This window comes from Homo sapiens, chromosome 19, assembly GCF_000001405.40.
Source record: "Homo sapiens chromosome 19, GRCh38.p14 Primary Assembly".
NCBI lineage: Eukaryota > Metazoa > Chordata > Mammalia > Primates > Hominidae > Homo > Homo sapiens.
Window position 1 is genome coordinate 1205736 of NC_000019.10, and position 27083 is coordinate 1232818.

A 27083-nucleotide genomic window follows, 5' to 3' on the forward strand; every position below is an offset into this window, starting at 1 on the left:
GGCCGGGCGTGCGGTGTCCGCGGCGGCGCAGGGAGGGGGAGGGAGGTAAACAAGATGGCGGCGGCGTGTCGGGCGCGGAAGGGGGAGGCGGCCCGGGGCGCCCGCGAGTGAGGCGCGGGGCGGCGAAGGGAGCGCGGGTGGCGGCACTTGCTGCCGCGGCCTTGGATGGGCTGGGCCCCCCTCGCCGCTCCGCCTCCTCCACACGCGCGGCGGCCGCGGCGAGGGGGACGCGCCGCCCGGGGCCCGGCACCTTCGGGAACCCCCCGGCCCGGAGCCTGCGGCCTGCGCCGCCTCGGCCGCCGGGAGCCCCGTGGAGCCCCCGCCGCCGCGCCGCCCCGCGGACCGGACGCTGAGGGCACTCGGGGCGGGGCGCGCGCTCGGGCAGACGTTTGCGGGGAGGGGGGCGCCTGCCGGGCCCCGGCGACCACCTTGGGGGTCGCGGGCCGGCTCGGGGGGCGCCCAGTGCGGGCCCTCGCGGGCGCCGGGCAGCGACCAGCCCTGAGCGGAGCTGTTGGCCGCGGCGGGAGGCCTCCCGGACGCCCCCAGCCCCCCGAACGCTCGCCCGGGCCGGCGGGAGTCGGCGCCCCCCGGGAGGTCCGCTCGGTCGTCCGCGGCGGAGCGTTTGCTCCTGGGACAGGCGGTGGGACCGGGGCGTCGCCGGAGACGCCCCCAGCGAAGTTGGGCTCTCCAGGTGTGGGGGTCCCGGGGGGTAGCGACGTCGCGGACCCGGCCTGTGGGATGGGCGGCCCGGAGAAGACTGCGCTCGGCCGTGTTCATACTTGTCCGTGGGCCTGAGGTCCCCGGAGGATGACCTAGCACTGAAAAGCCCCGGCCGGCCTCCCCAGGGTCCCCGAGGACGAAGTTGACCCTGACCGGGCCGTCTCCCAGTTCTGAGGCCCGGGTCCCACTGGAACTCGCGTCTGAGCCGCCGTCCCGGACCCCCGGTGCCCGCCGGTCCGCAGACCCTGCACCGGGCTTGGACTCGCAGCCGGGACTGACGTGTAGAACAATCGTTTCTGTTGGAAGAAGGGTTTTTCCCTTCCTTTTGGGGTTTTTGTTGCCTTTTTTTTTTCTTTTTTCTTTGTAAAATTTTGGAGAAGGGAAGTCGGAACACAAGGAAGGACCGCTCACCCGCGGACTCAGGGCTGGCGGCGGGACTCCAGGACCCTGGGTCCAGCATGGAGGTGGTGGACCCGCAGCAGCTGGGCATGTTCACGGAGGGCGAGCTGATGTCGGTGGGTATGGACACGTTCATCCACCGCATCGACTCCACCGAGGTCATCTACCAGCCGCGCCGCAAGCGGGCCAAGCTCATCGGCAAGTACCTGATGGGGGACCTGCTGGGGGAAGGCTCTTACGGCAAGGTGAAGGAGGTGCTGGACTCGGAGACGCTGTGCAGGAGGGCCGTCAAGATCCTCAAGAAGAAGAAGTTGCGAAGGATCCCCAACGGGGAGGCCAACGTGAAGAAGTAAGTATGGCTTGCTGGGGTCGGGGCCGGGCCGGGCCAGTCACGGTGCTGATGGTTCTGTCTTCCTTCCTTCTCTCCTCCCTCCCTCCCTTACTTCCTCTTAACACCCTGAGCTGGACCCGTCTGGCGCCTGTGTCCTCCGTGCCAGGGAGAGCGTGGTTGGGGGCCTGCGTTACGGACTTTCACTCAGGCAAGGCCAGTTGTCGCAGCGGGGCGTGCGTTTGCATGGGCTCTTGGACTCCAGTTAAAATGCCCTGGTAGCGAAACCCTCCTGAGAAGGGAGCGGCCCCCAATCCCCTAAGACTAGCCCCTTGGCTCCCCCAGCTGTCCAAGGAGCAGAGGCGCCCAGTGGAATCAGCCTGTGTTTGTTTGGGCCCCGAGAGTTTGTGTGCGGCCGCCAACACGTTTTCTGCGCAGTGTGTGGCCGTTACCGGGGCCAGGCGAAATGTGATTTGTTTATCCTGTCAGAGGGGAACCCTGGGCTGCCAAAAATAACTGTTTGCACCGGCTTATCAGTCAGCAGGAGGGAAACGTAGCCTTTCCTCATTTGCCAGGGATGTGACGCTGGAAGCATCCCTGGCCCCCGGGGCTGGAAGCCCTGCCCGAGGGGGACTGTGCCTCCCTCCCGAATTGCATCCGGAAGACCTTACTTTTCCAACTGACTTCTTCAGGCACGGGGCTGCCGCTGGGCATCCCGGACGCCTCTGCATCTGTGCGCGGAGAAGCTCCTACCTAGGGCAGCACTGGCCGGCCTGAGCCTCTCCCAGCTGGTGGGGGTGGCCGGGGGTGTCCCTGCCTTATCGCAGCCAGACACGCTGCACCTGCCGCCGCCTGGCGGGCCCTGCCCAGGCCCTGCTCCTTTCCCAGCCTTCTTAACTTTCAAAACTTTGCCTCCTGTTTCCAAGAAAGGACCTTATCTGCTGGGCTAGGCCTCGAGGGACTGGCAAGGACACCCTGCGCAGGGCACCATGACCTTGGAAGGAGGTCCGGGGAGGGGCTGCTGCGGTGTCTGCTCTCACCTTCCTCCTGCTCAGGGGCCCTGGGGCTCCTGCCGTGTCTGCTCTCACCTCTCTCCTGCTCAGGGGCCCTGGGGCTCACGTACATTTTTTTTTTTTTTTTTTTGAGACGGAGTCTCGCTCTGTTCCCCAGGCTGGAGTGCAGTGGCGCGAACTGGGCTCACTGCAAGCTCCGCCTCCCGGGTTCATGCCATTCTCCTGCCTCAGCCTCCCGAGTAGCTGGGACTACAGGCACCCGCCACCACGCCCGGCCAATTTTTTGTATTTTTCAGTAGAGACGGGGTTTCACCGTGTTAGCCAGGATGGTCTCAATCTCCTGACCTCGTGATCCGCCCGCCTCGGCCTCCCAAAGTGCTGGTACTACAGGCGTGAGTCAACGCGTGCGGCCTTTTTTTTTTTTTTTTTTTTTTTTTTTGAGACGGAGTTTCACTCTTGTTGCTCAGGCTGGAGTGCAGTGGAGTGGTCTTGGCTCACTGCAATCTCCGCCCCCTGGGTTCAAGTGATTCTCGTGCCTCAGCCTCCCGAGTAGCTGGGATTACAGGTGCCTGCCACAGTGCCCAGCTAATTTTTTTTTTTTTTTTTTAGTAGAGACGGGGTTTCACCATCTTGGCCAGGTTGGTCTTGAACTTCTGACCTCGTGATCCACCTGCCTCAGCCTCCCAAAGTGCTGGGATTAAAGGCGTGAGCCACCGCGCCCGGCCAGCACGCTTCTTAATCAGCATGCAGGCTGTGACATGCGGAAACCAGGGGCACAGGCTCTGAAGTTTGTACTCTGGAGCTGGAGCAGTCAGGGTTAAATGGGAGCGGCTGGGAAGGGTGTGTTTCCACGAGGCCTTTCTGATGTCTCAGTGCCCAGTCTGGACCCGGGTAGAAGGTGTGGCCAGTGCCTTGAGTCAGTGGAGCAGTTGCCTGTGCCTGGTCTCTGTGAGATGGGTTGGTCAGGGGCTAGGCAGAGCCTGTGCCTGGTCTCTGTGAGATGGGTTGGTCAGGGGCTAGGCAGAGCCTGTGCTGGGGGTAGCAGGTGCCCTCTAAAGGGGCCAGTGACAGTCTCTCTCCCAGCAGTGAGAAACCCACGCTTAGGGGCCGGGCGCGGTGGCTCACGCCTGTAATCCCAGCACTTTGGGAGGCTGAGGTGGGTGGATCGCCTGAGGTCAGGAGTTCGAGACCAGCCTGGCCAACATGGTGAAACCCCATCTCTACTAAAAATACAAAAGTTAGCCGAGTGTGGTGGCGTGTGCCTGTAATCCCAGCTACTCGGGAGGCTGAGGCAGAACATTGCTGGAGCCTGGGAGGCGGAGCTTGCGGTGACCCGAGATCGCACCATTGCGCTCCAGCCTGGGCGACACAGCGAGACTCTGTCTCAAAAATAAATAAATAAATAAATAAATAAATAAATAAATAAATAAATCTGGCTTGAGTTTTGACAAATGTATATGCAGGGTCAATGGGAAGACAGACGCTGGAGGGTGGAAGCCTGACTGTGAGAGTGAGCCCCCTGCTTTCCTGAACAGTCAGTGGAGGAGGTCCTGGGAGCTCAGGTGAGCACCTGAACGGTAGGGCAGAGCCTGAGGGTCTTGGTGGAGACAGGCAAGAAGGTTGCAGGAACCTAGTCTGGCCCAGTGCCTGGGAGAACGGGAGGGAACACGGAGGCAGGGAGGCAGAGGGGTTGGCAGGACCTGGACTGGACTGTGCGTCGCAGCTACCCACAGCTTGACCCCACTGCCTTGAAGTGAGTGATGCACCCTCACTAGTGTTCAGCGTCCAATTTCATCCTGGCCCTGAGTGTGTAACGGCTTTGCCCTTGCGGGGCCCCCTGGGATGAGGGGTGAGCCCTGTCCCTTCCTGGTCACTGTCTGCCATCAGGAGCTGCCCCGCTTACAGCTGTGATTCAGGAGCCACTGCATTTCCTCCAGCCCCCTGGGTGCTGCCAGGGGGTCCTCCTATTCTGGGAGCTGGTGTGTTCTGACTGGAGGCTGCCATGTGCAGAGTGCTGTCAAGGAGAAGGGGTGTCCACTGCCCAGCCCTGAGGCCCAAGGCCTTGGCCAGCCTTGCTGCCAGCGCTGCAGGGAAAAAGCCTCCTTTGTGTGTGGGAAGTTTAATAAACTCCGCTCAGATTGTGTCTCGCAGCGAGTGTCTGGAACCTTCCAGACAAGCCTCAGGCGTCCGGTCCTCCAGTTGGTGTGGAAAGCGTGGGCGATCACCAAGGGGGGTGGGTTGGGGCAGATGGAGCCGGCGTGAGTCCCGTCTCTTCCCTTCCTTCCCAGAAAGGCAGCCCTGGAGTCCATGCCTTGTCCCGCTCTCACCGGCAAAAAGTATAATCTTATTAGAAATAGGAAAGTTCCAAAAAGCATCAATGAGTTAAAAAGAGGGCTGGGCATGTTCGGTCATGCCTGTAATCCCAGCACTTTGGGAGGCCAAGGCGGGTGGATCACCCGAGGTTGGGAGTTAGCCTGACCAACATGGTGAAACCCTGTCTCTACTAAAAATACAAAATTAGCTGAGTGTGGTGGCGCACGCCTGTAATCCCAGCTACTCTGGAGGCTGAGGCAGGAGAATCACTTGAACCCGGGAAGCAGAGGTTGCGGTGAGCCAAGACCATGCCATTGCACTCCAGCCTGGGTAACAAGAGTGAAACTCCGTCTCGAAAAAAAAAAGGGCTGGGGCCGGGCGTGGTGGCTCACGCCTGTAATCCCAGCACTTTGGGAGGCCGAGGCGGTTTGATCACAAGGTCAGAAGTTTGAGACCAGCGTGGCCAACATGGTGAAACCCTCTCTCTACTAAAAATAGAAAAACTAGCCAGGTGTGGTGGCACATGCCAATAATCCCAGCTACTTCATCTGAGGTCAGGAGTTCAAGACCAGCCTGGCCAATATGGCGAAACTCCGTCTCTACTACAAATACAAAAATTAGCCAGGCGTGGTGGCGCGCGCCTGTAGTCCAGCTACTGGGGAAGCTGAAGCAAGGAGAATCGCTTGAACCTGGGAGGCGGAGGTTGCGGTGAGCCGAGATCGCATCATTGCATTCCAGGCTGGGCAAGCCTAGGAGAGAAGAGCGAAATTGTGTCTCAAAAAAACAATTAATTAAAATAAAATCAGTGCCATAGGCTGTTTCTGGTAGGCAGTGGGTTCCTAGGGTGGAGCAGGGAAGGGCTGGAAAGGGTCGCCTGTGCCCAGCCCGACTCCCCGTGCTTCTCGGGGGACAGCACGGCTAGCTGCTGCTGCGGAGCCCACAGTGGGGTTCTGGGGGGGGGGGTGCAGGCAGAAGGCCGCCATGCCTCCCTCCCCCTTTCCACCCCAGTGAGAGTGGGCTCGAAGGCAGGGAGTCTGCCCGCCTTGTGGAGCCTCCGCAGAGGCACCCAGGGCTGCCGTGAGCGCACAGCCTGGCGGTGTCCCACGGCCCTGCCCTTTCCTGTCACTTCCACCTGTTGCAAAACACTGTGCTTTCGTATCTTTTCTTTCTACCTGTTTGGAAATGTGAAAATCACTGCTGCCGTAGGAAACGGGCCCAGATCCGGGCTGTGGCTCTCCCATCCGCACCGCCCCCGCGGTGTCCAGCCAGGAGGTGGGAGGTGGGCGGCACTCAGTGTGCCTGGTTGCGGCGATGATTGGCAGATGCTTGGACCTATGGTAAAGAGGATTTTCGCGAGCTGGGAGTCAGTCCTGGACTTTGTAGGTCTTTACATCCCAGGCGGCCTTTATGGGGTTCCAGCATCTGCTGAGGCCCCTGCGCCAGCCATGTGAGGCCTGGGTGTCCTCGAGGCCTCTGTTTGTGCCCCTCTCTGGGCAGCGGGAGGGAGAGCTCTGAGACCCAGAGGGAGCTCAGGGGCTGGGCAGCCGCAGAACAGCGGGGGTAATGGGTCCACTGGGGGTTCTGGGCTGTGCACACAGTGGGCTTCCGGTGCCCAGCCAGCTGGGGCAGGCCTGGAATGTTGGTTCCTCTCTCAGGATCTGGGGCGCTGCTGTAGCTGTCGGGGAATCAGTGAGGCGGCTGGACGGCCCGTATATCCCACAAACGCCACCGTATTGCTCAAACTGGACTCAATTTTCTTAACACCTTTTTTTTTTTTTTTTTTTTTTTTTTTGGAGACAGGGTCTCACTGTATCGCCGAGGCTGGAGTGCAGTGGCGCAATCATAGCTCTGGGCTCAGGTGACCCTCCTGCCCCCAAGGTAGCTGGGACTGCAGATGTGCACCACCACACCCGACTAGTTTTTTGTAGAGATGGGGTTTCGCCATGTTGTCCAGGCTGGTCTCAAACTCCTAGACTCAAGCTATCCGCCTGCCTGGGCCTCCCAGAGTGCTGGGATTACAGGTATGAGCCACTGCTTCGCCACGTTCACCTTTATTTACTTATTTATTTATTTTTGAGACGGAGTCTCGCTCTGTCCCCCAGGCTGGAGTGCTGTGGCACGATCTTGGCTCACTGCAAGCTCCGCTTCAGCCTCCCAAGTAAGCTGGAACTACAGGTGCCTGCCACCAAGCCTGGCTAATTTTGTTTTTGTATTTTTAGTAGAGACGGGGTTTCACCGTGTTAGCCAGTATGGTCTCGATCTCCTGACCTTGTGATCCGCCCGCCTCGGCCTCCCAAAGTCCTGGGATTACAGGCTTGAGTCACTGTGCCCGGCCCACCTTTTTATTTTTTATTTTATAGAGACAAGGGCTTGCTGTGTTGCCCAGGCTGGTCTTGAACCCCTGACCTTAAGTAATCCTCTCTGGCCTCCCAAAGTGCTGGGATTACAGGTGTAAGCCATAGTACTGGGCCTAAAGTTCACCTTTTTTTTTTTTTTTTTTTTTTTTGAGATGGAGTCTCGCTCTGTCACCCAGGCTGGAGTGCAGTGGCGTGATCTTGGCTCACTGCAAGCTCTGCCTCCCGGGTTCACACCATTCTCCTGCCTCAGCCTCCCGAATAGCTGGGACTACAGGCGCCTGCCACCATGCCCGGCTAATTTTTTTGTATTTTTAGTAGAGATGGGGTTTCACTGTGTTAGCCAGGATGGTCTCGATCTCCTGACCTCGTGATCTGCCTGCCTCGGCCTCCCAAAGTGCTGGGGTTACAGGTGTGAGCCACCGCACCCGGCAAAGTTCACCTTTTTAAAGTGTGTAATTCAGTGGCATATAGTACATTGACAGAGTTGCACAACTATCACCTCTATCAGCTTCCAGAACATTCTTGTTACCCCAGAAGGAAACCCCGTCTCTGTCAGCCATCACTCCCCATTCCCTCCCCAGTCCCGGCACCCACGCATTCCCTTCCTGCCTCTGGATTGGCCTGTCCTGAACATTTCACACGAGTGGTGTCACACACCGCGTGGCCTTTTGCGTCCGGCTTGTCTCACGGAGTGTGCTGTCCTCAAGGGGCATCCGCGCCGTGGCCTGGGTCCGAACCTCTCTGCTGTTCACGGCTGCGTCACTTTCCAGTGTGTGGAGGGCCACGCTGCGTTTGACTGCTCATCTGTGGCTGGACACTTGGGCTGCTCCCGCCTCTGCCTGTGAATTGTGGCTGCTTTGGTGCACGTGTGCTCAGCCGGCGTCCCTCTAGAATCCTTGAGGGCCTTGTTTCAGCCACATCAGGAGGGATTCAGGGACCAGGGCACGCGGGTCTGGAGCTGGGTGTTCCTGGGTCTCCATGTGCCTCCCAGTCCTGCTCTGAGCCGTGGGAGGCCGGGGCGAGGGCCAGGCCCATCTCTTCCCTGTATGATCTGTTTCTAGGCAGACGGAGGCTCCTAGCCCCACCTCTCTGTGAGCTTGAGTGGCGTTTATGACTCTCCTTCCTATTTCCTGTCCTGCTAATCAACAAGTCAGCTAAACAGTCCATGCTGCCTGGGCAAGCCCAGTAGGCCCCTAACGTGGCACCTCGGAGCGGCTGGCGATGCCCCAAGAGCCGGGCTTCCCCCTCCTGGAGGCTCTTCCTGTTCCTCGCCAAGCTCTTAGGTTTCGCTGGGCCTCCTCTTCTGCTCTTTTTCTGGCTGGAGACGTCAGAGGAAGCCTGGCGATCTAGAGAAGCTGATGTGCACCCATCATCCCGGAGGTGACTGCCACCAGGCGGGGGTGGCTCCACCCCCACTCCTCCCCTGGCATAAATCGGGGGACGCACGTGCCTGCGCAGAATGCCTTGGTCCCTTTTAATTAAACAGACAACCCAGTGTCCCTTGGTCTATGCTGACCTGCTCAGGAGTGCCTGGGCTCTTCCACGTTTCAGCTGCTGTGTGTCCTGCTGCTGTGAAGTGTCCCCGTTGAGGTGGAGGCAGGGCAGGGCGCCTTCGGTGAGGGCGAGTCCTCCTGTGCCCGTTTCCCCATCTGTAGAATGATGGCTCATGGAGGAGACATGGTGTCGGCAGGTGGTGGCCGGCGCAGGGAGGTTTCCAGGAGGGAGTCCTCCACCCTCATTTGCTTTTAGGGCCGTGCAGCCTCCCGAGCGGCCCCCACGAGGCTCTGAGGCTGCATGCAGGTTGAGCTCCTGGCCTCACTGCCCCTCCTCAGGGTTAGGACTGTGCTGGAGCCTGGGTGGGTGTGGGGTGGTCCCTGCACAGGCAGCAGGAGGTGGGCCAGAGCGGTGCTGGACCTGAAGGCCCGTGGCTCCCTCAGCTCCACTGAGGAGGCTGGAATAGTGTCCTGGGCCACCTTCCCTGCCGGTAGCCGGCTCCTGCTGAGGGAGGGGGTGCTTTCGCCTCCTGGTGGAGCATCAGGCTCTTGGGGCCTGTGCGTCCGAGCATCTGGCCTCTGCTGTCTGAAAACAGCACCTTCCCCGCCCCCCGGCCACCGCATCTCCTCTGAATAGAAGGCAAGTCTTGCCTCCCAGGAATGGCCTGTGACCTTCATCAGCGGGGGAGGTTAGGGGCACACAGAGCCCTGGGGAACAAGGGGATCTGGGGCTGAGCCGGGCCTCTCGGGCCCACCCCGAGCTCTCCTGAGCAGCCTGGCAGGCAGGAAGGCGCTGGGCCCCGGGGCCTTTGCCGAGCCCAGCCTCACCCTCAGCGTCCCCCTCAATGCCCTGGGTGCCTGCCAGGCTGTGGACACAGGCCCTGGCCAGTTCTATAAATAACCTTGCCGGGCCCTGCTGGGAATTGGTGCCACCACCACATAGCCCAGAGAGAACGGAAACACAGGGCTTCTCAGCGAGCAGACCAGGCCTGCGGTGACCAGTGGAAGTGGGGGACGCTTTCAGGGCTGGGCAGCCCGACAGGGCACCGGGCACAGCCAGGGGCCGGAACCAGTTGCTCACTGGCTCCGCTTCTGGGGGACTGTGTCCCTCTGTGCCCCGTCCCCATCACACCTTGCTTTCCCTTCATCCTGCTCTCCTAGCCCCTCCCCAGACTGGCGGCCCCTTGTCCAGGCCCAGCCCCAGCACAGCCTGCAGCCCTGGCAGAGCTCAGGCCTTGGCCTTCTGAGGTTGCCCTGAGGGCAGTGAGCAATGAGCCCTGGGACTGGTGCACTGGGAGGGAAAGGTGAGCCAAGGCTTCCTGCAAGAGGCAGCCCTGAGCTGGGGGTGGGGAAGGCTGGGTCGTGGGATACCCCTGACACCCCAAGTTTTTTTTTTGAGATGGAGTCTTGCTCTGTCACCCAGGCTGGAGTGCAGTGGTGAGATCTCGACTCTCTGCAACCTCCGCCTCCCAGGTTCAAGCGATTCTCCTGCCTCAGCCTCCTGAGTAGCTGGGATTACAGGCGCCCATCACCACGCCCGGCTAATTTTTGTATTTTTAGTAGAGACAAGGTTTCACCATGTTGGCCAGGCTGGTTTCGAACTCCTGACCTCAGGTGATCCACCTCGGCCTCCCATAGTGTCGGGATTACAGGCGTGAGTCACCGCGCCTGGCCCCCCAGCTGTTTTTTATGCTCCATGCTTGGGCTTCCTGTTAAGAATTAAAAAAGAAAAAAAAAACTATGGAGATGGAATTTACATACTGTACAACTCATTCGTTCACAGTGTACAATTCAGTGGCATTAAGTACATTCACACGGCTGTGCAACCACTACTTCTAATTCCAGAACGTTCGGTCACCCCAAAAGCAAGCCCCATTCCCATTGTGTCACTCTCCATCCCCTCCACCAGCTCCTGGCCACTCTGAATCCACTTCCTGGCTCTGGATTGGCTTGTCCTGGATATTGCATAGAAATGGGATCCTGTCGGCCGGGCGCGGTGACTCACGAGAGCAAGAGATCCAGACCATCCTGGCCAACATGGTGAAACCCCATCTCTACTAAAAATACAAAAATTAGCTGGGCGTGGTTGCGGGCACCTGTAGTCCCAGCGACTCAGGGGCTGAGTCAGGAGAAATCGCTTGAACCCGGGAGGCAGAGGTTGCAGTGAGCTGAGATCATGCCATTGCACTCTGGCCTGGCGACAGAGTGAGACTCCGTCTCCAAAAAAAAAAAAACAAGAAATGGGATCCTGTCATCCCAGCGTTTTCCGAGGCCGAGGTGGGCAGATGACTTGAGCCTAGTAGTTCAAACGAGACCAGCCTGGGCAGCACGGTGAAACTGTCTCTACTAAAATACAAAAATTAGCTGGGCATGGTAGCACACGTCTGTAGTCCCAGCTACTTGCGGGGCTGAGATGGGAGGATCGCTTGAGCCTGGGAGGTGCACTCCAGCCTGGGCGACAGGGAAACCCTGTCTCAAAAAAAAAAAAAAAAGTGCATCACACACTGTGTGTCCTTTAGTGTCTCACTGTGACATCCTCAAGGTGCAGCTAGGCTGTGGCTCGAGTCAGAGCCTCACTGGTTTTTGTGGCTGAGTCTTGTTGAGTGCGTGGATGGGCTGTGCTGATCCTCGTCTGTGGAAGGGCCCCTGGGTGGTTCCACATCTCGGCTGCTGTGCGTCCTGCTGCTGTGAGCATCTCGTGCTCCGTTTCTGCGTGGCGTGTACTGTTCCTCAGGGTGTGTACCTGGGAGTGGAGCTGCTGGCTCACAGGGTAACAGACCTTTGGAGAAGCTGCAGACGCTTCCACGCCCACCCACTGGGTGTGAGGACCTTGCTCCTCGTCATTTTTGTTTTTGTTTAATTTTTTCTTTTATGAGACAGGGTCTTATTCTGTTGTCCAGGCTGGAGTGCAGTAGCACGATCACAGGTAACTACAGGCTCAAGTGATCCTCCCACCTGAGCCTCCCGAGTAGCTAGGACTTGAGGCACGTACCTCCACACCTGGCTAATTTTTGTATTTTTAGTAGAGACAGGGTTTCGCCGTGTTGCTCAGGCTGGTCTCGAACTCCTGAGCTCAGGTGATCCACCCGCCTCGGCCTCCTATAGTGCTGGGAGAAATGAAGTGTCTGCGACAGGGCGGCAGCTGCAGAGGGGGCTGTGCTCTCTGGCCTGTTGTGCCCCACCCTTGTGACAGGCAGGTGGGCGTGGCCAACTGGGCGGCAGCTGCAGAGGGGGCAGTGACAGGCGGGTGGGTGTGGCAGGACCCCACAATGTCTCTTTCTGTGGCGTCTCCTTCTTCGCCTGCCCCTTCCTATGGGCCATCCTTCCAGCTCACCTGCGGCCCACCCTCCAAGGAGTGGGACCCTCGGAGTTGGGAGCCCTTGGCTGCGTGGGACTGTACTGTGTGACGGAGCCATCACCAGGGCTCCAACTCACCCTGGCTCCTGCCACAGTCTGGGCTCCATCTGTGCTACCATTGCAGTAGTCTGGTTTCTAGGAAGCAAAACTGTTACTGAGTTACAAAGCTCAATTAAGAGTGTCCTTTGGGAGGCCGAGGCGGGCGGATCACAAGGTCAGGAGATCGAGACCATCCTGGCCAACATGGTGAAACCCTGTCTGTACTAAAATACAAAAAAATTAGCCGGCTGTGGTGACACGTGCCTGTAGTCCCAGCTACTCGGGAGGCTGAGGCAGGGAAATCACTTGAACCTGGGAGGCAGAGGTTGCAGTGAGCTGAGATCGGGCCACCGTGCTCCAGCCTAGGGACAGAGCAAGACTCTGTCTCAGAAAAAAAAAAAAGTGTCCTAACTGTGTCCTCCAAAGCCCTCGCCGGCCGATGACAGACTAGAGGGCGCTGTGCTCCCACCCCCTACCGCCCTGAGCCTGGACGCGTGGCCCCTGCAGGGCCCTTTCCCACAGCACTGTGAACTCACAGCTTCTCTCTAGGGAAGGGAGGAGGTACGCCACTTCCACAGGGAGATGGGGAGGCCGACTCCAGGGATCCAGGCCATCATCCTGACGTTGGGTCGGCTGATACACCCCTGTCCTCTCTGTCCCAGGGAAATTCAACTACTGAGGAGGTTACGGCACAAAAATGTCATCCAGCTGGTGGATGTGTTATACAACGAAGAGAAGCAGAAAATATATCCTTTCCGGTGTTGGGACCGCGGGGCCTCCGTGGGAGGGGCTGGGGCCCTGGGTCCGCCTGCCTCGAGGCCTGCTCCTCTTCCCGTCTCCTTGAAGGAGACTGGCACACGAGGGCCGTGGCCTTCCCTGGTTCCCCGGAAGTCAGCCATTGTGGCAATGGCTGCGCAGCTTGCTGAAAGGGGCCCTGAGCCCTGGCCCCTGTGTCTTGGGCCCGTGGGGTGTCAAGTCCCTTTTTTCTCAGAGTCTCCTCCCAGGCTAACCAGGGGTGTAGCCACGGTCTGCCTGAGACAGGCCACGCGGGCTGACCGTTGTGGGCCATTTTGGTCGTGGCTGGGCGTGTCCTCGTGTCATCTGTGGACACCCCCATGGGTCTTACGGGCACAGCCTCCCTACGGGGACTTTGCTTCCTAAGGCCCTGTGCCCAGAGCAAGAGCCAGAAGTGGTCCTGAGGCTGGGGCTGTGTTCCCTGAGCCACGCGGTCAGGGGCCCTGGGACCGTCCTGCATGGGCCCGAGCCTGCTTGGGGGGGCGTCCAGGAGGCACCATCCCCCGCCCATGGGCAGGGTGGGGGACGTGAGCCCCGCAGGAACGCTGCCCCAAGAGTCAGCCCTGTCCTCCCCTTCCCCGTAGGCTCCTTCCTCCTGGGACGCTGGGGCCCCTGGGCCTTTTCAGAGGGGTGGCTGAGGGCAGGGTGGGCCCTGGTCCCGAGGAGGGGCAAGGTGGGTGCAGAGGGTCCCTCCAGAGCCCCTTTTCTGGCCCCCGTGCTCCCTGGGCCTGTGAGTGGGGCCGCCCCCTGAGCTGTGTGTCCTTAGCGCCCCACGTATATGGTGATGGAGTACTGCGTGTGTGGCATGCAGGAAATGCTGGACAGCGTGCCGGAGAAGCGTTTCCCAGTGTGCCAGGCCCACGGGTGCGTGCGCGGGGCAGGGGCCAGGGTGGGGCGGGGGCCGGGGGCCAGGCAGGGCAGGCTCCTTTCCGTGAGGCCACACTGCTTGTCCTGATATTCATTGACATGAAGGCCCAAGTTTTTTTGTTTTTTTGTTTTTTTGTGTTTTTTTTCGAGATGGAGTCTCACTCTGTCGCCCAGGCTGGAGTGCAATGGTGCGATCTCGGCTCACTGCAAGCTCCGCCTCCGAGGTTCACGCCATTCTTCTGCCTCAGCTTCCCGAGTAGCTGGGATTACAGGCGCCCGCCACCACGCCCGGCTAATTTTTTGTATTTTTAGTAGAGACGGGGTTTCACCGTGTTAGCCAGGATGGTCTCAAACTCCTGACCTCGTGATCCGCCTGCCTCAGCCTCCCAAAGTGCTGGGATTACAGGCATGAGCTACCACGCCCGGCCTTGTAAAGGCCCAAGTTTTTAAAAACAGTTTTGGGGTCCCCCATGTGTGGCATCCACAGGCAGGGCTGCTGCCAACCTCCCGCCTCCATCTTTGCTGGGCCTGCTGCCTGAGGCCAGTGGCCTGCTTCCAGCCCATCGCTGGCAGCCGCCTGCCCTGACCAGATCTCCTGGATGCAGGTCTGTGGCCTCAGAGTCAGGGCCCCTTGCTGCTGCAGGACCACAGGGGCAGGGAGGGGCCTGCTGTTCCAGCAAGACTTTGGGGTGCAGCCGGCCTGTGGCCCACAGGAAAATGAGACCTGTGGACATCCGGGGCCCTGCCAGACGTGGCTCGGCCGGACGAGGGTGGCCACTGCAGGCGCAGGTGTGGCTCCCTGCTGGACCTAGCCTTTCCTCTGTCCTGTGTGCCTGGACTTCTGTGACTTCCCAGCTGGGCCTGTGGTGTTTGGGAGGCTCCCAGGCAGCTGCAAAGGGGACCCCTGTGAGGGGCAGGGAGGCCTCGGCCCCAGGACGGGTGTGTGCTGCCCGCAGGTACTTCTGTCAGCTGATTGACGGCCTGGAGTACCTGCATAGCCAGGGCATTGTGCACAAGGACATCAAGCCGGGGAACCTGCTGCTCACCACCGGTGGCACCCTCAAAATCTCCGACCTGGGCGTGGCCGAGGTAGGCACGTGCTAGGGGGGGCCCTGGGGCGCCCCCTCCCGGGCACTCCCTGAGGGCTGCACGGCACCGCCACAGGCACTGCACCCGTTCGCGGCGGACGACACCTGCCGGACCAGCCAGGGCTCCCCGGCTTTCCAGCCGCCCGAGATTGCCAACGGCCTGGACACCTTCTCCGGCTTCAAGGTGGACATCTGGTCGGCTGGGGTCACCCTGTAAGTGCCCCGCCCCCCCGGGCACTCACCACACGCACACTCCGAGGGGCCTCTGCGTCTTGGGCAGCTGCCGGCCTGTGGGCGCAGGGCGTGGCCACCGGCCCAGACCCTCTCTGGCCACAGCCGCTAGGGGGTGCTTACTTTATGGAAATGTAACTCATACGGCAGATGGTGGTTCACCCGTGTGAAGTGCAGCCTGGCCCGTCAGGGATCTTCACAGAGTGGCACGGCCGACCCTCCTCCCAGAGCCCCACAGGGAAGCTGGGCGGGTGACAGCAGCTCCAGGCCCCTTCCCCGGGTGGGTCCAGAGGACACTCCCCTCCTACCCCGTAGCCTCCACTAGTGGAAGGTGGTGAAGACAGAGGTGTCCTTGAGTCCACAGGGCCTCTGGTCCAGCAGCCACGGGACGCCTCTGTCCCTGGGGTAGAGCTGGGGCTCCTAGGGCGTCAACCACCTTGACTGACCACGCCTTTCTTCCCTCCCCTCGAAATGAAGCTACAACATCACCACGGGTCTGTACCCCTTCGAAGGGGACAACATCTACAAGTTGTTTGAGAACATCGGGAAGGGGAGCTACGCCATCCCGGGCGACTGTGGCCCCCCGCTCTCTGACCTGCTGAAAGGTGGGAGCCTCATCCCTCTGCCCGCAGCCCCAGGGAGGCGGGGCTTTTGTGCAGAAATGTAGGGTTGGGGGTGTCAGGTGGGGGGCTATTGGCCCCGAGACCCCAGCAGGCATTGAGAGGACTGAGTGGAGAGGCCGACCTCCCCGCAGGGCCTGGTTTGCCAGGTCCCTCAGCTCCACCCTGCTTCTGGGCCCTGTTCACCCTCCGAACTCCCACCCCAGAGGGCAGTGCTGCCCTGCGCCTCCCCCAGCCCCACCCTCGGGGGCTCCCTGGCTTGCAGGGTCTGTCAGGGTTGTCCTGCTGCACTTCCTACGCATGGCAGCAGGTGGCACTGGCCGTCCGTCCATCTGCCCAGTGGCCTTGGGAGAACGGAACCGCCCTGGCCGTCCAGCCCAGCCCTGTCTCCCTGCCAGCCGCGCACAGGCTGTCCCCGGCATGTCCCAGGAGTGGAGTGGCCTCTGTCAGGGAGACCGCCTGTGCGCGGGGTCCCCCTTAGGAGCGTCCAGGTATCACCCAGGGCCTGACAACAGAGGCTGGGCAGGCGGGGACGGTTGGTGGGGTCTCAGGCCTGTGCCCAGCTGACAGGCTCCTCGCCGGCTTCTCCTCAGGGATGCTTGAGTACGAACCGGCCAAGAGGTTCTCCATCCGGCAGATCCGGCAGCACAGGTGAGCGGCCCCTGGGGGCAGTGGGGCCGAGGCTGCAGGGAGGCCGGCCATGTGGGCAGCTGGTTGAGCGGGCGCTAGAGCAGGGCGTGGTGGGGGTGCCAGGCTGGGCTGGGGCCAGACCCCGTGCAGCGCCCGCAGTTCTCGGGGCCCGAGTGGGGTCTCTGGGCAGTGTCCTGTTACCGGCCAGACCCAGGCGCCTTGTCCGAACTGGGGTCTGAGTGAGGACATGCGTCCGTCCCTGCCCTAGGCATGGAGATGCGCCAGGAAGGGCACAGCTGGTCCCAAACACTGGCGAGAGCCTCTCTTTTTCCCCTCCTCCTGGGGCTCCCAGCAGCAGGGTGTGGCTGGGATCCAGCCCAGGGCCCCCAGCTCCATGACAGGGAAGACAGAGCAGCGGACGGGGTCAGCAGGCCCCACAGTGCCGCCTCCCTCACTTCGTGGGCTCTGCTCCTCTGCACCAGCCCCTGGAGGCCCTTGAGCCGTCTGCTGGAGCCCCTCCGAGCCCCGAGGCCACCCACTGAGACCGGCTCTGGGAGTGGGAGTGTCCGGACCCCTGAGGCGCTGGTGCTGATTGTGCCTTGGGGGTCTCTGCACAGCTCGGGTCATCTGGGCGCCTGGCGGGGACTGGGGCTGCCCCCCGATAGCCTCCTGGGCTGGGATGTGCTCAGGGCCCCCCAGACCCCCTTCTGGCCTTTGCTGGCTTTGCAGCCAGCATCCATCTGGTGGGTGCTGGCTTCTGAGTGCCACCTGGGACACAGGCCTCAGGGTGGAGGGGACATCTGTCAGGCTTGGAGTCAGGTCAGCCTGCCTGCTCCTAGAGGACATGGCTGAGCTTCTGTGGTCACAGCCACCCCTTGCACGGCCTGGTCCCAGCTCCTGAGTGTGTGGCAGGTACCCTGGGCCCAGAGGAGCTGGGTCGGAAAACTGGACCGCCCTGGTGCCAGCCTGACAGGCGCCACTGCTTCTGGGCGTTTGCAGCTGGTTCCGGAAGAAACATCCTCCGGCTGAAGCACCAGTGCCCATCCCACCGAGCCCAGACACCAAGGACCGGTGGCGCAGCATGACTGTGGTGCCGTACTTGGAGGACCTGCACGGCGCGGACGAGGACGAGGACCTCTTCGACATCGAGGATGACATCATCTACACTCAGGACTTCACGGTGCCCGGTGAGTCTGGCGGGGGCCCCTGCCCGGCTCTGCTGACTCGGCCAGGATGTCCCACGGGAGCAGGGTGCCTGCCTGTCTGCAACAAGGACAGCTTCTGCCCTCTGGTGGCCAATCCCACGTCCCCAAAGCCTCCAGCCCACCTGCAGGCTGCCTCCGCCCTGCGGGCCGCTGGGACATGGCTGAAAGGTGTGGGGTCAGCGGGGGCACCAGCCCAGGCCTGTCTGGCCAGGAGGGTTCCTCAGGCGTCTCTCCGGGTGCTGCCCAGCCAGGCACCACCCACCGGCCTTGGCCTGAGTCCCAGCAGGAGCAGGCGGGGGAGCCCCAGGGTCGGGGGAGGGTAGGTGAGAGTCAGGGTGCAGGGTGGCCCCTCAGACAGCTGGCATGAGAGAGGGTCCAGTGGCCCTCCCTCCCGTCGTCCCTGAGGCCTGCCCGCTGGCCCTGATGCCGGCCGCCCTTCTTCCCTAGGTGGCGAGGAGGCGTCTGAGGCAGGGCTTAGAGCGGAGCGCGGCTTGCAGAAGAGCGAGGGCTCAGACCTTTCAGGAGAGGAAGCCTCTCGGCCGGCGCCGCAGTAGTGCCTGAGGAGGAGCTCAGGGCCTTAGCGTAGGGGCGGCCCACATTGGCAGCCAGCCCCTCCCCGCCATGCTCCCGGCTTGGCTGTGTTCGGCCCAGGGCTGGGCCGTGTCATAAAGAGTTTTGCAGTGTATCTGCAGGGTGGATGCTTGCTGCGCTCGGGCTGGAGCCTGAGGGGGCTTTCTGCTTTACTGTTTCAGCGGGAAGTGGTGGGCAGGGGCCGGCCTGAGAAGGGGGGTACGCCAGGCAGGTTGGGATGTGAGGACCCAGTGCACAGGGTCCACCCCCGGGCCCGAGGGTCCCAGAATAGTGGGGGCCCTGCAGAGAGCCCCCCATTAGGTCCCTCAGCACTCCTGGGCCCCTCATCAAACCCCTAGGCTCAGCTCAGTAGCTGGTCCCCAGGAGAGTACAGTGTGGGGGCCCCCGAGAGCACAGTGTATGGGGGTCCCCGGGGGGTACAGTGTCTGGGGGCCCCCCAGGAGGATGCAGCATGTGGGGGCCCCCCAGGAGGGTACAGCGTGTGTGGGGCCCCCAGGATCACAGGGTCTCAGCTCCTGGGCTCTTGGATTTGCAGCACCACGACCATCGCGTCTGGTCTGTTGGAACGGGAGGTGCTGCTGGGTACCCTGGTCACTAGGGTGTGCTGGGAGGTGGGGGCCCCTCATGGTGCCCATCCTTGGGGCCTGGCTGCAATTTGACCCCAGGCCCAGGGTCTTCTGCCTTTCAGAGCCCTGGTGCCCTGAGACGGGCAGCCAGGCAAATCCCAGGCAGGAGGGCCAGTTAGGGCAGGGCCAGCCCAGGCAGGTTGCGAGAGTCCCTACTGGGACGTGGACCACACGCTGACCCCCACGGCCGCCCCTGCAGGCCAGGATCCCTGAGCCAGGACCCGGCACTGGCTTCCCTCCTGGGGACCCTCAGGCCTGTGTGAGACCTGGGCTGCCCTGGGGTGAGGTGCCTGGGAGGAGAGCAGGGGCTGGGCCACCTTTTTCATGACCCTGCTAAGCCCACTGTGGGTGGTGAGGAGGAGTACCCAGCAGGGGGAAGGGCCGCCAGACCACTCGGCATGGCTGAGGCCTCAGTACTCAGTACTGGGTACTCAGGTGGACGCCCCTCCCACTGCTCAGATGCTGGGGACAGGCTCAACTTCAGGCTTCAGCGTGAGCCCCGTCCCTGACCTGCAGAGCCCCCTTGCGTTGGGGCAGGACAGCCCGGCGCCCTCGGGTCAGGCCATCCTCTGCGCTCTGCCGGGGCTGCTGCATCGGCCTCTGCGTGCCTCCACTTTGGCCTCACGTGTCCCTACCCAGGATGCGGGTCCTGCTGCCAACACCCAGATCCCAGGGAAGGGGCTTGGGCTAGATCCTGGGCACCAGTGCAGACAGGAGTGTGGGGTGGGGCAAGGGCCCAGTGGCGGCTGTGCCCGCTGATGCAGAGCTGGGGCACCTTGTCCACAGGGTCTGCCCCACCAGAGACGGGCTGGGCCCAAGCTCAGACCTATGGGTGCAATTGGTGCCTCCTCACCAAGGTCTTTTTTATCTTTTTTTTTTTTTGGAGACAGAGTCTTGCTCTGTCGCCCAGGCTGGAGTGCTGTGGTGCGATCTCGGCTCACTGCAACCTCCACCTCCCGGATTCAAGCAATTCTGCCTCAGCCTCCTGAGTAGCTGGGATTACAAGTGCGCGCCAGCATGCCCGGCTAATTTTTGTATGTTTAGTAGAGACGGGGGTTTCACCATGTTGGTCAGGCTGGTCTCAAACTCCTAACCTCATGATCTGCCCACCTCGGCCTCCCAAAGTGCTGGGATTACAAGCGTGAGCCACCGCGACCGGCCCAAGGTGCTTTTTTAAAGCTAGTGACTTCCTGTGCACATGGGGTGGGTGTGTGGCAAGTTCTGGAAGCTGCTGAGTCAGCCACTGGTCCATTCTCGGAGCTGGGGCTCTGCACTGGGCACATGAGCTCTGGGGCAGCCCGGGGCGGCCTCCCACTGACTTCGCCCGGGAGGGGCCTCGGGGATGGCTCGGCAGCCAGTGTGTTCGCGGAGTCCTCGCCAACCACCACGGCTCCTCGCAGGGACAGTACGTGGGCAGCTTCCTGCACTTTCCCCTGCCATTGTGAGAACAGTGTCCACCTGGGCAGGGTGGGCAGCCCCAGGCCTGTGGGTTTCACCAGGGTGCTGGTGATGGTTGGTGGCTAGCAGGGACTGGGGGCAGCTGGGGGCCCTGGCAGGCTGAGCTCTGCTCCCCGCGTGGTTCTGTGCTGGCATTTCGCGTGCCTGGCCTGAGCCTGGCCCGAGCCTGGCCCTCCTGTGTCCTCACAGATGAGCATGTGGCGGCTCCTGGGCCTCTAGAACCAACCATGGGCCAGGGTGCCCCAGGGGAGCACGGGAGGGTCCTGCCTTGTCAGCTTGCCTCCTACTCGTGAGGTTCCTGCAGTCAGTACCTGGGTGGGGTCCCACCTGCGGCCATGGCAGGTGCAACAGACGTGGTGGAGGGGACACTCCTGCCCAGGCCATCTGCGGGAGGCTCAGCCCCGGGGGGTGCCTCCCAGAGCTGCTGGGGGGCAGCATTTCAGGCTGGATACACCTGGGCCTGACCCGGGGGCGGGCATGGCCTGGGCAGCAGCTGTAAGTGCGTCCCCGTGGTGGGGGCCAGCCAGGTCCCTGTGGCTCTGGGGTTGCGCCCCTCAGCTCAGGCCACACTTGCCGTCTCCCTCCCAGGACAGGTCCCAGAAGAGGAGGCCAGTCACAATGGACAGCGCCGGGGCCTCCCCAAGGCCGTGTGTATGAACGGCACAGAGGCGGCGCAGCTGAGCACCAAATCCAGGGCGGAGGGCCGGGCCCCCAACCCTGCCCGCAAGGCCTGCTCCGCCAGCAGCAAGATCCGCCGGCTGTCGGCCTGCAAGCAGCAGTGAGGCTGGCCGCCTGCAGGTGGGGCGCGGCGGGGCCCGGGTGGGGCATGTGGGGACAACGCCTGGATGCCACAGCCAGCCGTGAGCATAGCCCGCGCTAGTCAGTCATGGTGACCGTCACGTGGCTGCGCGTGGTTGCCATGTGGCCTTTGGGTGGCTTGGCCACGTAGCGATCCCCGTGGAGGGTGCCGTCTCGGGGCCTGGTGTCTGGCCAGCGTGCTGGTCATGGAGGCCTACGTGTGGCGGGGCTCTGGGGGGGCGTGCCGTCCTCACAGCCACCTCTCAGAGTGGGTGCATTCCGAGGACCCTGCCCTGGGCCTGGCGCCCCCTCCCCATGCCCGCGCCGCTTCCAGGAAAGGCTTATGCTGGGCTCAGCCCAGAGGCTTTTGAGCACCAGTGGGTGGTGGGTGGTGGGGAGGGGCCGCGGCCTCCATGGCTCTGCCGGGGTGCCGCAGGCTCTGAGCCAGCTGCCAAGTATGGCTGAGGCTGAGTCGTGCCGGACGCTGCCCTGTCTCTCCCTGTGTGCCTGCCTCCTCTCCCAGCCCCAGCCCCAGCCCCGGGTGGGAGACGGAGTCCCAGAGGTGTCAGAGACCCTTAAGTCACCTGCCGAGGATGCGGGGTGGATGGGGGCCCGAGGCTGAAGCCCCTGCCTTGCCACAGCCCCTCTCCCAGGTTTTGGGGGCCACCGCCTGAGTTACATGTCTGTCCCCCAAATGGGTGCCCACAGCCCATCCACCAGCGTCAGAGCCCGCCAGGCCCCACTGCAAAAGGCCACACAATGTACCCCGGGAGTGACTCAAGGGTGGCCTTCCCTGGCCTCCCCTGCTGCCCCCCAGGAGTCCGGTAGCCCCATGACTGTACCTCAGCTTCTCCATCCTCCCAGGGGCCCGCGGGAGGCGGAGAACCGGTGCCCAGGCTGACCTCTTCCGTCTTCCTTCCACCCTGCAGCCCGTGTCCAGGAGCCCCGCCAGGTGCCCGCGCCAGGCCCTCAGTCTTCCTGCCGGTTCCGCCCGCCCTCCCGGAGAGGTGGCCGCCATGCTTCTGTGCCGACCACGCCCCAGGACCTCCGGAGCGCCCTGCAGGGCCGGGCAGGGGGACAGCAGGGACCGGGCGCAGCCCTCCCCCCTCGGCCGCCCGGCAGTGCACGCGGCTTGTTGACTTCGCAGCCCCGGGCGGAGCCTTCCCGGGCGGGCGTGGGAGGAGGGAGGCGGCCTCCATGCACTTTATGTGGAGACTACTGGCCCCGCCCGTGGCCTCGTGCTCCGCAGGGCGCCCAGCGCCGTCCGGCGGCCCCGCCGCAGACCAGCTGGCGGGTGTGGAGACCAGGCTCCTGACCCCGCCATGCATGCAGCGCCACCTGGAAGCCGCGCGGCCGCTTTGGTTTTTTGTTTGGTTGGTTCCATTTTCTTTTTTTCTTTTTTTTTTTAAGAAAAAATAAAAGGTGGATTTGAGCTGTGGCTGTGAGGGGTGTTTGGGAGCTGCTGGGTGGCAGGGGGGCTGTGGGGTCGGGCTCACGTCGCGGCCGCCTTTGCGCTCTCGGGTCACCCTGCTTTGGCGGCCCGGCCGGAGGGCAGGACCCTCACCTCTCCCCCAAGGCCACTGCGCTCTTGGGACCCCAGAGAAAACCCGGAGCAAGCAGGAGTGTGCGGTCAATATTTATATCATCCAGAAAAGAAAAACACGAGAAACGCCATCGCGGGATGGTGCAGACGCGGCGGGGACTCGGAGGGTGCCGTGCGGGCGAGGCCGCCCAAATTTGGCAATAAATAAAGCTTGGGAAGCTTGGACCTGGCCGTCTGGGTTTTGTTCGCGTCTCAACGTGGATGGGGCGGCAGCGGGGCGGGCGCCGTTGACATGCGGAGGGCAGTGGGGACTCGGGGCGCGGGAGGGCCGGGGCCGGCTCCCTCAGGGCCGGCGGCAGCAGCGGTGGCGGCGCGGTTATTGCTCGGAGGCGGCGCGGGCTGCCGCCAGCACACGCCGCAGTGAGGTAAACGGTCTCGGAGGTCGGCAGTCACGGTGTTGAGCCGCCTCCCGGCCCAGGGCGGCGAACTCGTCTGCGACCGTTAGCGCCCCGCGGCCCCCGCCCGGGCGAGCTCGCGCACGCGCCCGGCACGCGGCGGCTCCATCGGGCCCAGTGGGCTGCGCGACCCTCGGGTGGCGGGCCCTGCGACTAAGCGGCCGCCCCGTCCGGGACTGAGGGCGAGTGATCGTTGTCCTCAGGAGCCCGAAGCTGAGAGCCGTTCACGCCCCTTCCTTCCCGCCCAGCCGGGGTCTCCGCGGCCCGCGCCTCACGACGCCCAGCACCCGGCAAGCACCGGAAAGAGCAGTGCACACTTCGGCGGCGCGAGGGCGGCCGGGGCTCTGCGCCTGCGCCCTGAAGCGGCGAGCGCGCCTCCGTCGCCCGGCGCGTGCGCGAAGGGCCCGCGGTCCCCGCGCATTCGCGTCGGGGCGTCGCGCCCCCACGTCTCTCCCGCCGCCGAGGCCCCGTGCGGCGCCGGAGAAGCTGCCAGAGAGATGGGCCCAGGACGCGGGACTTAGGCCGGGCTGTGGTCGGGGGACGTGGGGGCGGCGGCGACCAACGCGGGAGTCGCCACGACGGGCTCGGCGAGGCGCGGCGGAAAGAGTCTCTCGTCGAGGCCAGCCGCCAGCTTGTCCAGCACCGACCCGGATGGTAGGACGCACAGGCCCGAGCCGGGGCACCCCCCGCCGCCCGGCTCCTCCTCGATGACGGGGATGGCGGGGTCGTCGCCGGCGCCGCCCAGGGTGCGACCGTCGGGCGGGCCGTCCACGCTGTCGCCGCGCCGCAAGGGCGCACGCGCGGGTCGGGCCGCGCCGGCAGGCGGTGCCGGGGTTCCGGCCAGGGCCGGGGCCGCGCGGGCGCCGGGGTCGCTGTGCTGCCGGCCACGCTGCCACTGTTTGCGGGCGTGCGGGTGCGCGCGGGCGCGGTGTCGCGCGGCAGCCGGCGTGTCGTCGAAGTGCGGGTCGTGGCGCAGGAACTCGTGGAACAGCGCGTCCGTCTTCTCGTCGATGCTGTAGTCGCGGCGCGGGCGGCGGGGCCAGGCGCGCGGGCTGCGGGGCCGGGCGGGCGCGGCAGGTGGCTCGGTGTCGTCGCCTGCGCCGCGGCCCTCGATGCTGGCGTAGCCACTGTCCATCTGCAGCAGCCGGCGCGCCTCGCCGTCCTTGGGCCGCGGCGCGGGCGGGGAGGGCGGCGGGAAGGCGGGCGCCGCGCCCCCGGAGCCTGAGCCCGAGCTGTCGCCGCTGCGCACCGAGTCGCGGTCGTTGCCGCTGCTGCTGTGGTCCGAGGCGGCCGCATGCAGCTCAAGCGAGGCGCGCAGGCTCCACAGGTCGCGGTAGCTGGTCTGGGCCTGCTCGGGGCCCGCGTCCCGCTCGGCGTCCGGCTCCAGTGGCGGCTGCTGCTGCTCAGGCCCCGCGCTGCCCGCGCCGCGCTCCGGGGGGGAATCGGGGCTCGCTCCTCCCGCTGCCTCGGCCGCCTCTAGCCTGCAAGCCAGGCCGCGCCGTCAGAGCCCCGCCGAGCCCCGCGCCCCCTACCCGGCCGGCCATCCCGCCTCTGGATCAGGGAGGGTGGACGCGGGTGGGACTTGGGACTCGGGCGGGCCTTGGAAGGTGAGAGCTTTAAAATGAGCCAGTGTGTTTTGCAGGGGATGCGTCTTGCATTGACCCTGAGCTGTGGCGCCTGCTTATTAAGCAGGGTGCCTCCATGCTGGACTGCAGACGGCGGGGCCCCCTCCCTTGGAAGCCCCCAGGAAAAGTCAACATGCTTCTCTCCGGGAGTCACGTTTTCCCAGCCTCCCAGTGGACGTGGGAGCCGCAGGGGATGGACTGGACGCGGTTGAGTCCAGCTCAGCCCCTGCTCCAGGCTAGGGCTCTCTGCCCACCCATGCTGGATAACCAGCAGGAGGACAGTGCACAGACGTGAGGGTCACCCGCCATACCAGGGCTGCCCCAGGAACCCTGCTCTGCCCCAGCCCCACGCCCCATTCCCATCCCACCGACGTGGGCCCTGGGCTTCAGGGAAGTTGCCCTTGGGTTGGGGGAGGGGTGCTGCTGGCCGGAGTGGTCACAGCAGCTTCTGAGAGGAGTCTGCCCAGCCTTGGGAGCATGGGCGGGGCGGGGGTGGGAGAGGGCCTGGGACCACAGCAGAACCCTTCAGGCCTCGGACTCCACCAGCAAGCAGCAGTACCAGCGCCATCCTCGGGGGGCCCCTCCTCCCCACCCACCGCCCTACCCTTACCCAGTCTCTCCCTGCTTCCCTCCTCTGGTCCATGCTGGAGAGGTGGCCCCAGTGAGTCCGCCTCTGGGAGGGGCCTTGCCGCTGGAGGCAGGCGAGCGCGTGTCCACGGGGCCTGGAGAGCGCTCCCTGGGCCGCCTAGGGGGGGGCGAAGGGGGGCAAGGGCCCACAGGTCCACCCCTAGCACCTCCATCTACTGAAAAATACCTGCCGAGAGCAGGGGGCGGGCTGGCCAGAAAGGGGCGGGGGTGCGGGAAGGCCACGGCGTCGCCCGCCCGGGCAATGTACTGGATGAAGTCCTCCTGGGGGGCATCCCCCTCCTCCTGCTCCGTGCTCTCACTGGCTGCCCGCTGCCGCTGGAAGTGGTGCCGCTTGGGGGAACCTGCGCACGGGATGTGCCGTAAGCGTCAGCCGGCATGTGCCTCCACCCGCTCCACACACACACAGAATGCCTATGCCCCCCCGCCACACACACACAATGCCTGTGCCCCCCCGCCACACACAACGCCTGTGGACCCCCACCACACACACACAACGTGTGCCCCCCACACATACAACGCCTGGGCCCCCCCCACACACAGAACGCCTGTGGCCCCCATACACACACATAGAACGCCTGTGCCCCCCACCACAGAACGCCTGTGGCCCCCTCACACACACACGCCTGTGCCCCCCCCACAGAACGCCTGTGCACCCCCCATGCCTGTGCCCCCCCCACAGAATGCCTGTACCCTCCTACACACAGAACACCTGTGGCCCCCACACACACACAACGCGTGTGCCCTGTCTCTGTCTCACACACACAGGAGTGGGCCCTGGCTTGGGCCAGACCCTGGCTGGCATCTCCCCGGGTCAGGTGGGTGCGGACAGTGGCTGTGTGTACACCCTGGAGTACAGGTGAGAAAACTGAGGCACGGAGGGAAGAGGTGCTGGGACCAGAGAGCCTGAGCAGGGCAGGGCCAGGAAGCGAGTGAGTGGAAGGGCCTCTGGCACCGATAGTGCCTTGTGGCAGCCCTGGTCAACATGTGGCCACTCATAAGGGCGTGTCCTGGACACCTGGTGGCCTGCACAGCCTGGCTGAAACTACGGAAGGCATGAGAGAGTCACATACAGGCTGGTGGGGGCCAACGAGGAGAGGGAGAGAGGTGCCCTCTCCTGCCAGCTCCACCCTGGTCTGGAGAGCGCTGGGGGACTGCCCCACCCCTGCCTCGGCCCCCTTCTCCCAACAGCCTCCCCAGCAAAGCTTGAGTGGGCAGGCCCCAGCAAACAGGTTCTGGGATGTGCTGCAACCACATTGGACTCTAAATGTCTCTAGTCACCCCTGGGCCCCATTCATTTCAAGATCTGGATTCTCTCAGCTGGAGCGGGGCAGCCAGAGGAGGCCTTCCCCTCCCTGGCCCCTAGCTACCTTGGGGGTGGGGGCTGGGAGAACTCACCCCACCCCCGCTGGCTGGAGCCACAACACAGGGTCTCCCACTGTCTGATGATGTGTCCTCTGTCATGCTGACAGCACCTTCTCTCTGCACTTGTCCCCTATCCTGGCCTCACCTGACGACAGGACCTGCCACCCTGTCCACAAGGCAGAGCGGGCCCCAGCCCCTCTGGGCTGCCCTGGCCCTGCTGAGCTGGCTGAGCAGGGCTGGTGCCTGCTGCCAGTGCTACAGATGGGACACCTCTGCTCCCCACACAAACTCCTGCCTCGAGCCCAGATAAGGCAGCCCTGTCTCCAGGATCCTGCCTGACCCAAGGCCTGCAGAATTGAAGGGCTACTGTCAAACAGTCCAGGGATCTATGTGCTACAGCCCAGAGGGCAAAAGCACCCCCTGCCCCGGAGCTTCGGTAAGTTTTACTGGCACACAGCCACGTGCATTCGTCATGCAGCGCCTCTGACTGCTTCCTCGCCTCAACAGCAGCAGAGTTGTGGA

General features: G+C 63.5%; 2 protein-coding genes across 8 annotated transcripts in view, besides 17 other annotated features; one reads left to right on the forward strand and one right to left on the reverse strand.

Annotated features, from left to right (window-relative positions):
• Positions 1-70: a silencer, noted in NCBI's record as "silent region_9669". NCBI's record gives its function as "represses an Ori minimal core promoter by ATAC-STARR-seq in GM12878 lymphoblastoid cells {active_cell/tissue: GM12878}" and the evidence as "EXISTENCE:reporter gene assay evidence [ECO:0000049][PMID:35858748]".
• On the forward strand, positions 43-22696 carry STK11 (serine/threonine kinase 11). Of its 3 annotated transcripts, NR_176325.1 has the most exons (11): positions 43-1468; positions 10533-10663; positions 12682-12765; positions 13589-13678; positions 14638-14770; positions 14846-14982; positions 15478-15605; positions 16214-16271; positions 17250-17437; positions 20719-20928; positions 21858-22696. NR_176325.1 is itself a non-coding variant. In NM_000455.5 (10 exons), the coding sequence occupies exons 1-9, from the start codon at positions 1179-1181 to the stop codon at positions 20910-20912; spliced, it is 1302 nt and encodes a 433-aa protein (NP_000446.1). In that variant the 5' UTR covers positions 43-1178; the 3' UTR covers positions 20913-20928; positions 21858-22696. The 3 variants fall into 3 exon arrangements, 2 of the variants coding, with proteins under 2 accessions (NP_000446.1, NP_001394184.1); NM_000455.5 differs by lacking the exon at positions 10533-10663; NM_001407255.1 differs by lacking the exons at positions 10533-10663; positions 20719-20928; positions 21858-22696 and adding an exon at positions 17903-18140.
• Positions 101-240: a silencer, noted in NCBI's record as "silent region_9670". NCBI's record gives its function as "represses an Ori minimal core promoter by ATAC-STARR-seq in GM12878 lymphoblastoid cells {active_cell/tissue: GM12878}" and the evidence as "EXISTENCE:reporter gene assay evidence [ECO:0000049][PMID:35858748]".
• Positions 1815-2109: a silencer, noted in NCBI's record as "tiled region #13808; K562 Repressive DNase unmatched - State 1:Tss". NCBI's record gives its function as "represses a minimal TATA promoter and a strong SV40 promoter by Sharpr-MPRA in K562 cells {active_cell/tissue: K562}" and the evidence as "EXISTENCE:reporter gene assay evidence [ECO:0000049][PMID:27701403]".
• Positions 2476-2565: an enhancer, noted in NCBI's record as "active region_13594". NCBI's record gives its function as "activates an Ori minimal core promoter by ATAC-STARR-seq in GM12878 lymphoblastoid cells {active_cell/tissue: GM12878}" and the evidence as "EXISTENCE:reporter gene assay evidence [ECO:0000049][PMID:35858748]".
• Positions 3136-3821: an enhancer, noted in NCBI's record as "H3K4me1 hESC enhancer chr19:1208870-1209555 (GRCh37/hg19 assembly coordinates)". NCBI's record gives its function as "activates a minimal SCP1, AML or CMV promoter by ChIP-STARR-seq in primed H9 embryonic stem cells {active_cell/tissue: H9 hESC(primed)}" and the evidence as "EXISTENCE:reporter gene assay evidence [ECO:0000049][PMID:30033119]".
• Positions 5248-6034: an enhancer, noted in NCBI's record as "H3K4me1 hESC enhancer chr19:1210982-1211768 (GRCh37/hg19 assembly coordinates)". NCBI's record gives its function as "activates a minimal SCP1, AML or CMV promoter by ChIP-STARR-seq in primed H9 embryonic stem cells {active_cell/tissue: H9 hESC(primed)}" and the evidence as "EXISTENCE:reporter gene assay evidence [ECO:0000049][PMID:30033119]".
• Positions 6836-7108: a mobile genetic element, noted in NCBI's record as "direction; reverse".
• Positions 6836-7560: a biological region, named in NCBI's record as "serine/threonine kinase 11 intron 1 Alu-mediated recombination region". NCBI's record gives its function as "recombination_partner: LOC110006318".
• Positions 7061-7513: a non allelic homologous recombination region, noted in NCBI's record as "recombines with the serine/threonine kinase 11 intron 3 Alu-mediated recombination region". NCBI's record gives the evidence for it as "EXISTENCE:nucleotide sequencing assay evidence [ECO:0000219][PMID:25841653, PMID:20435009, PMID:22775437, PMID:21118512, PMID:20623358]".
• Positions 7120-7244: a mobile genetic element, noted in NCBI's record as "direction; reverse".
• Positions 7256-7560: a mobile genetic element, noted in NCBI's record as "direction; reverse".
• Positions 7889-7938: an enhancer, noted in NCBI's record as "active region_13595". NCBI's record gives its function as "activates an Ori minimal core promoter by ATAC-STARR-seq in GM12878 lymphoblastoid cells {active_cell/tissue: GM12878}" and the evidence as "EXISTENCE:reporter gene assay evidence [ECO:0000049][PMID:35858748]".
• Positions 8249-8438: an enhancer, noted in NCBI's record as "active region_13596". NCBI's record gives its function as "activates an Ori minimal core promoter by ATAC-STARR-seq in GM12878 lymphoblastoid cells {active_cell/tissue: GM12878}" and the evidence as "EXISTENCE:reporter gene assay evidence [ECO:0000049][PMID:35858748]".
• Positions 12315-12609: an enhancer, noted in NCBI's record as "tiled region #9448; K562 Activating DNase unmatched - State 25:Art". NCBI's record gives its function as "activates a minimal TATA promoter and a strong SV40 promoter by Sharpr-MPRA in K562 cells {active_cell/tissue: K562}" and the evidence as "EXISTENCE:reporter gene assay evidence [ECO:0000049][PMID:27701403]".
• Positions 13796-14109: a mobile genetic element, noted in NCBI's record as "direction; reverse".
• Positions 13816-14062: a non allelic homologous recombination region, noted in NCBI's record as "recombines with the serine/threonine kinase 11 intron 1 Alu-mediated recombination region". NCBI's record gives the evidence for it as "EXISTENCE:nucleotide sequencing assay evidence [ECO:0000219][PMID:25841653, PMID:20435009, PMID:22775437, PMID:21118512, PMID:20623358]".
• Positions 17311-17520: an enhancer, noted in NCBI's record as "active region_13597". NCBI's record gives its function as "activates an Ori minimal core promoter by ATAC-STARR-seq in GM12878 lymphoblastoid cells {active_cell/tissue: GM12878}" and the evidence as "EXISTENCE:reporter gene assay evidence [ECO:0000049][PMID:35858748]".
• CBARP (CACN subunit beta associated regulatory protein) overlaps positions 22552-27083 on the reverse strand; it is a 10216-nt gene continuing 5684 nt past the window's right edge. For 2 of the 5 annotated variants that reach the window (XM_017026555.2, NM_001393918.1), the window contains exons 9-10: positions 25366-25540; positions 22552-24407 (exon numbers count right to left, since the gene is read on the reverse strand). In XM_017026555.2, the coding sequence (XP_016882044.1) occupies positions 23444-24407; positions 25366-25540 (1139 nt within the window). In that variant the 3' untranslated portion in view covers positions 22552-23443. Of the gene's footprint in view, positions 25541-27083 lie in introns of all 5 variants that reach the window. The other 3 variants (XM_017026556.2, XM_017026558.1, NM_152769.3) reach the window with 2 other exon arrangements.

What these genes read in the sequence shown, in the direction of transcription:
- STK11 (NM_000455.5), top strand. Translation starts at nt 1,179, where the DNA reads ATGGAGGTGGTGGACCCGCAGCAGCTGGGCATGTTCACGGAGGGCGAG. An exon ending in CCGACCTGGGCGTGGCCGAG is followed by an intron (nt 14,771 to 14,845) that starts GTAGGCACGTGC and finishes GCACCGCCACAG; the next exon opens with GCACTGCACCCGTTCGCGGC. An exon ending in GCTCTCTGACCTGCTGAAAG is followed by an intron (nt 15,606 to 16,213) that starts GTGGGAGCCTCA and finishes GCTTCTCCTCAG; the next exon opens with GGATGCTTGAGTACGAACCG.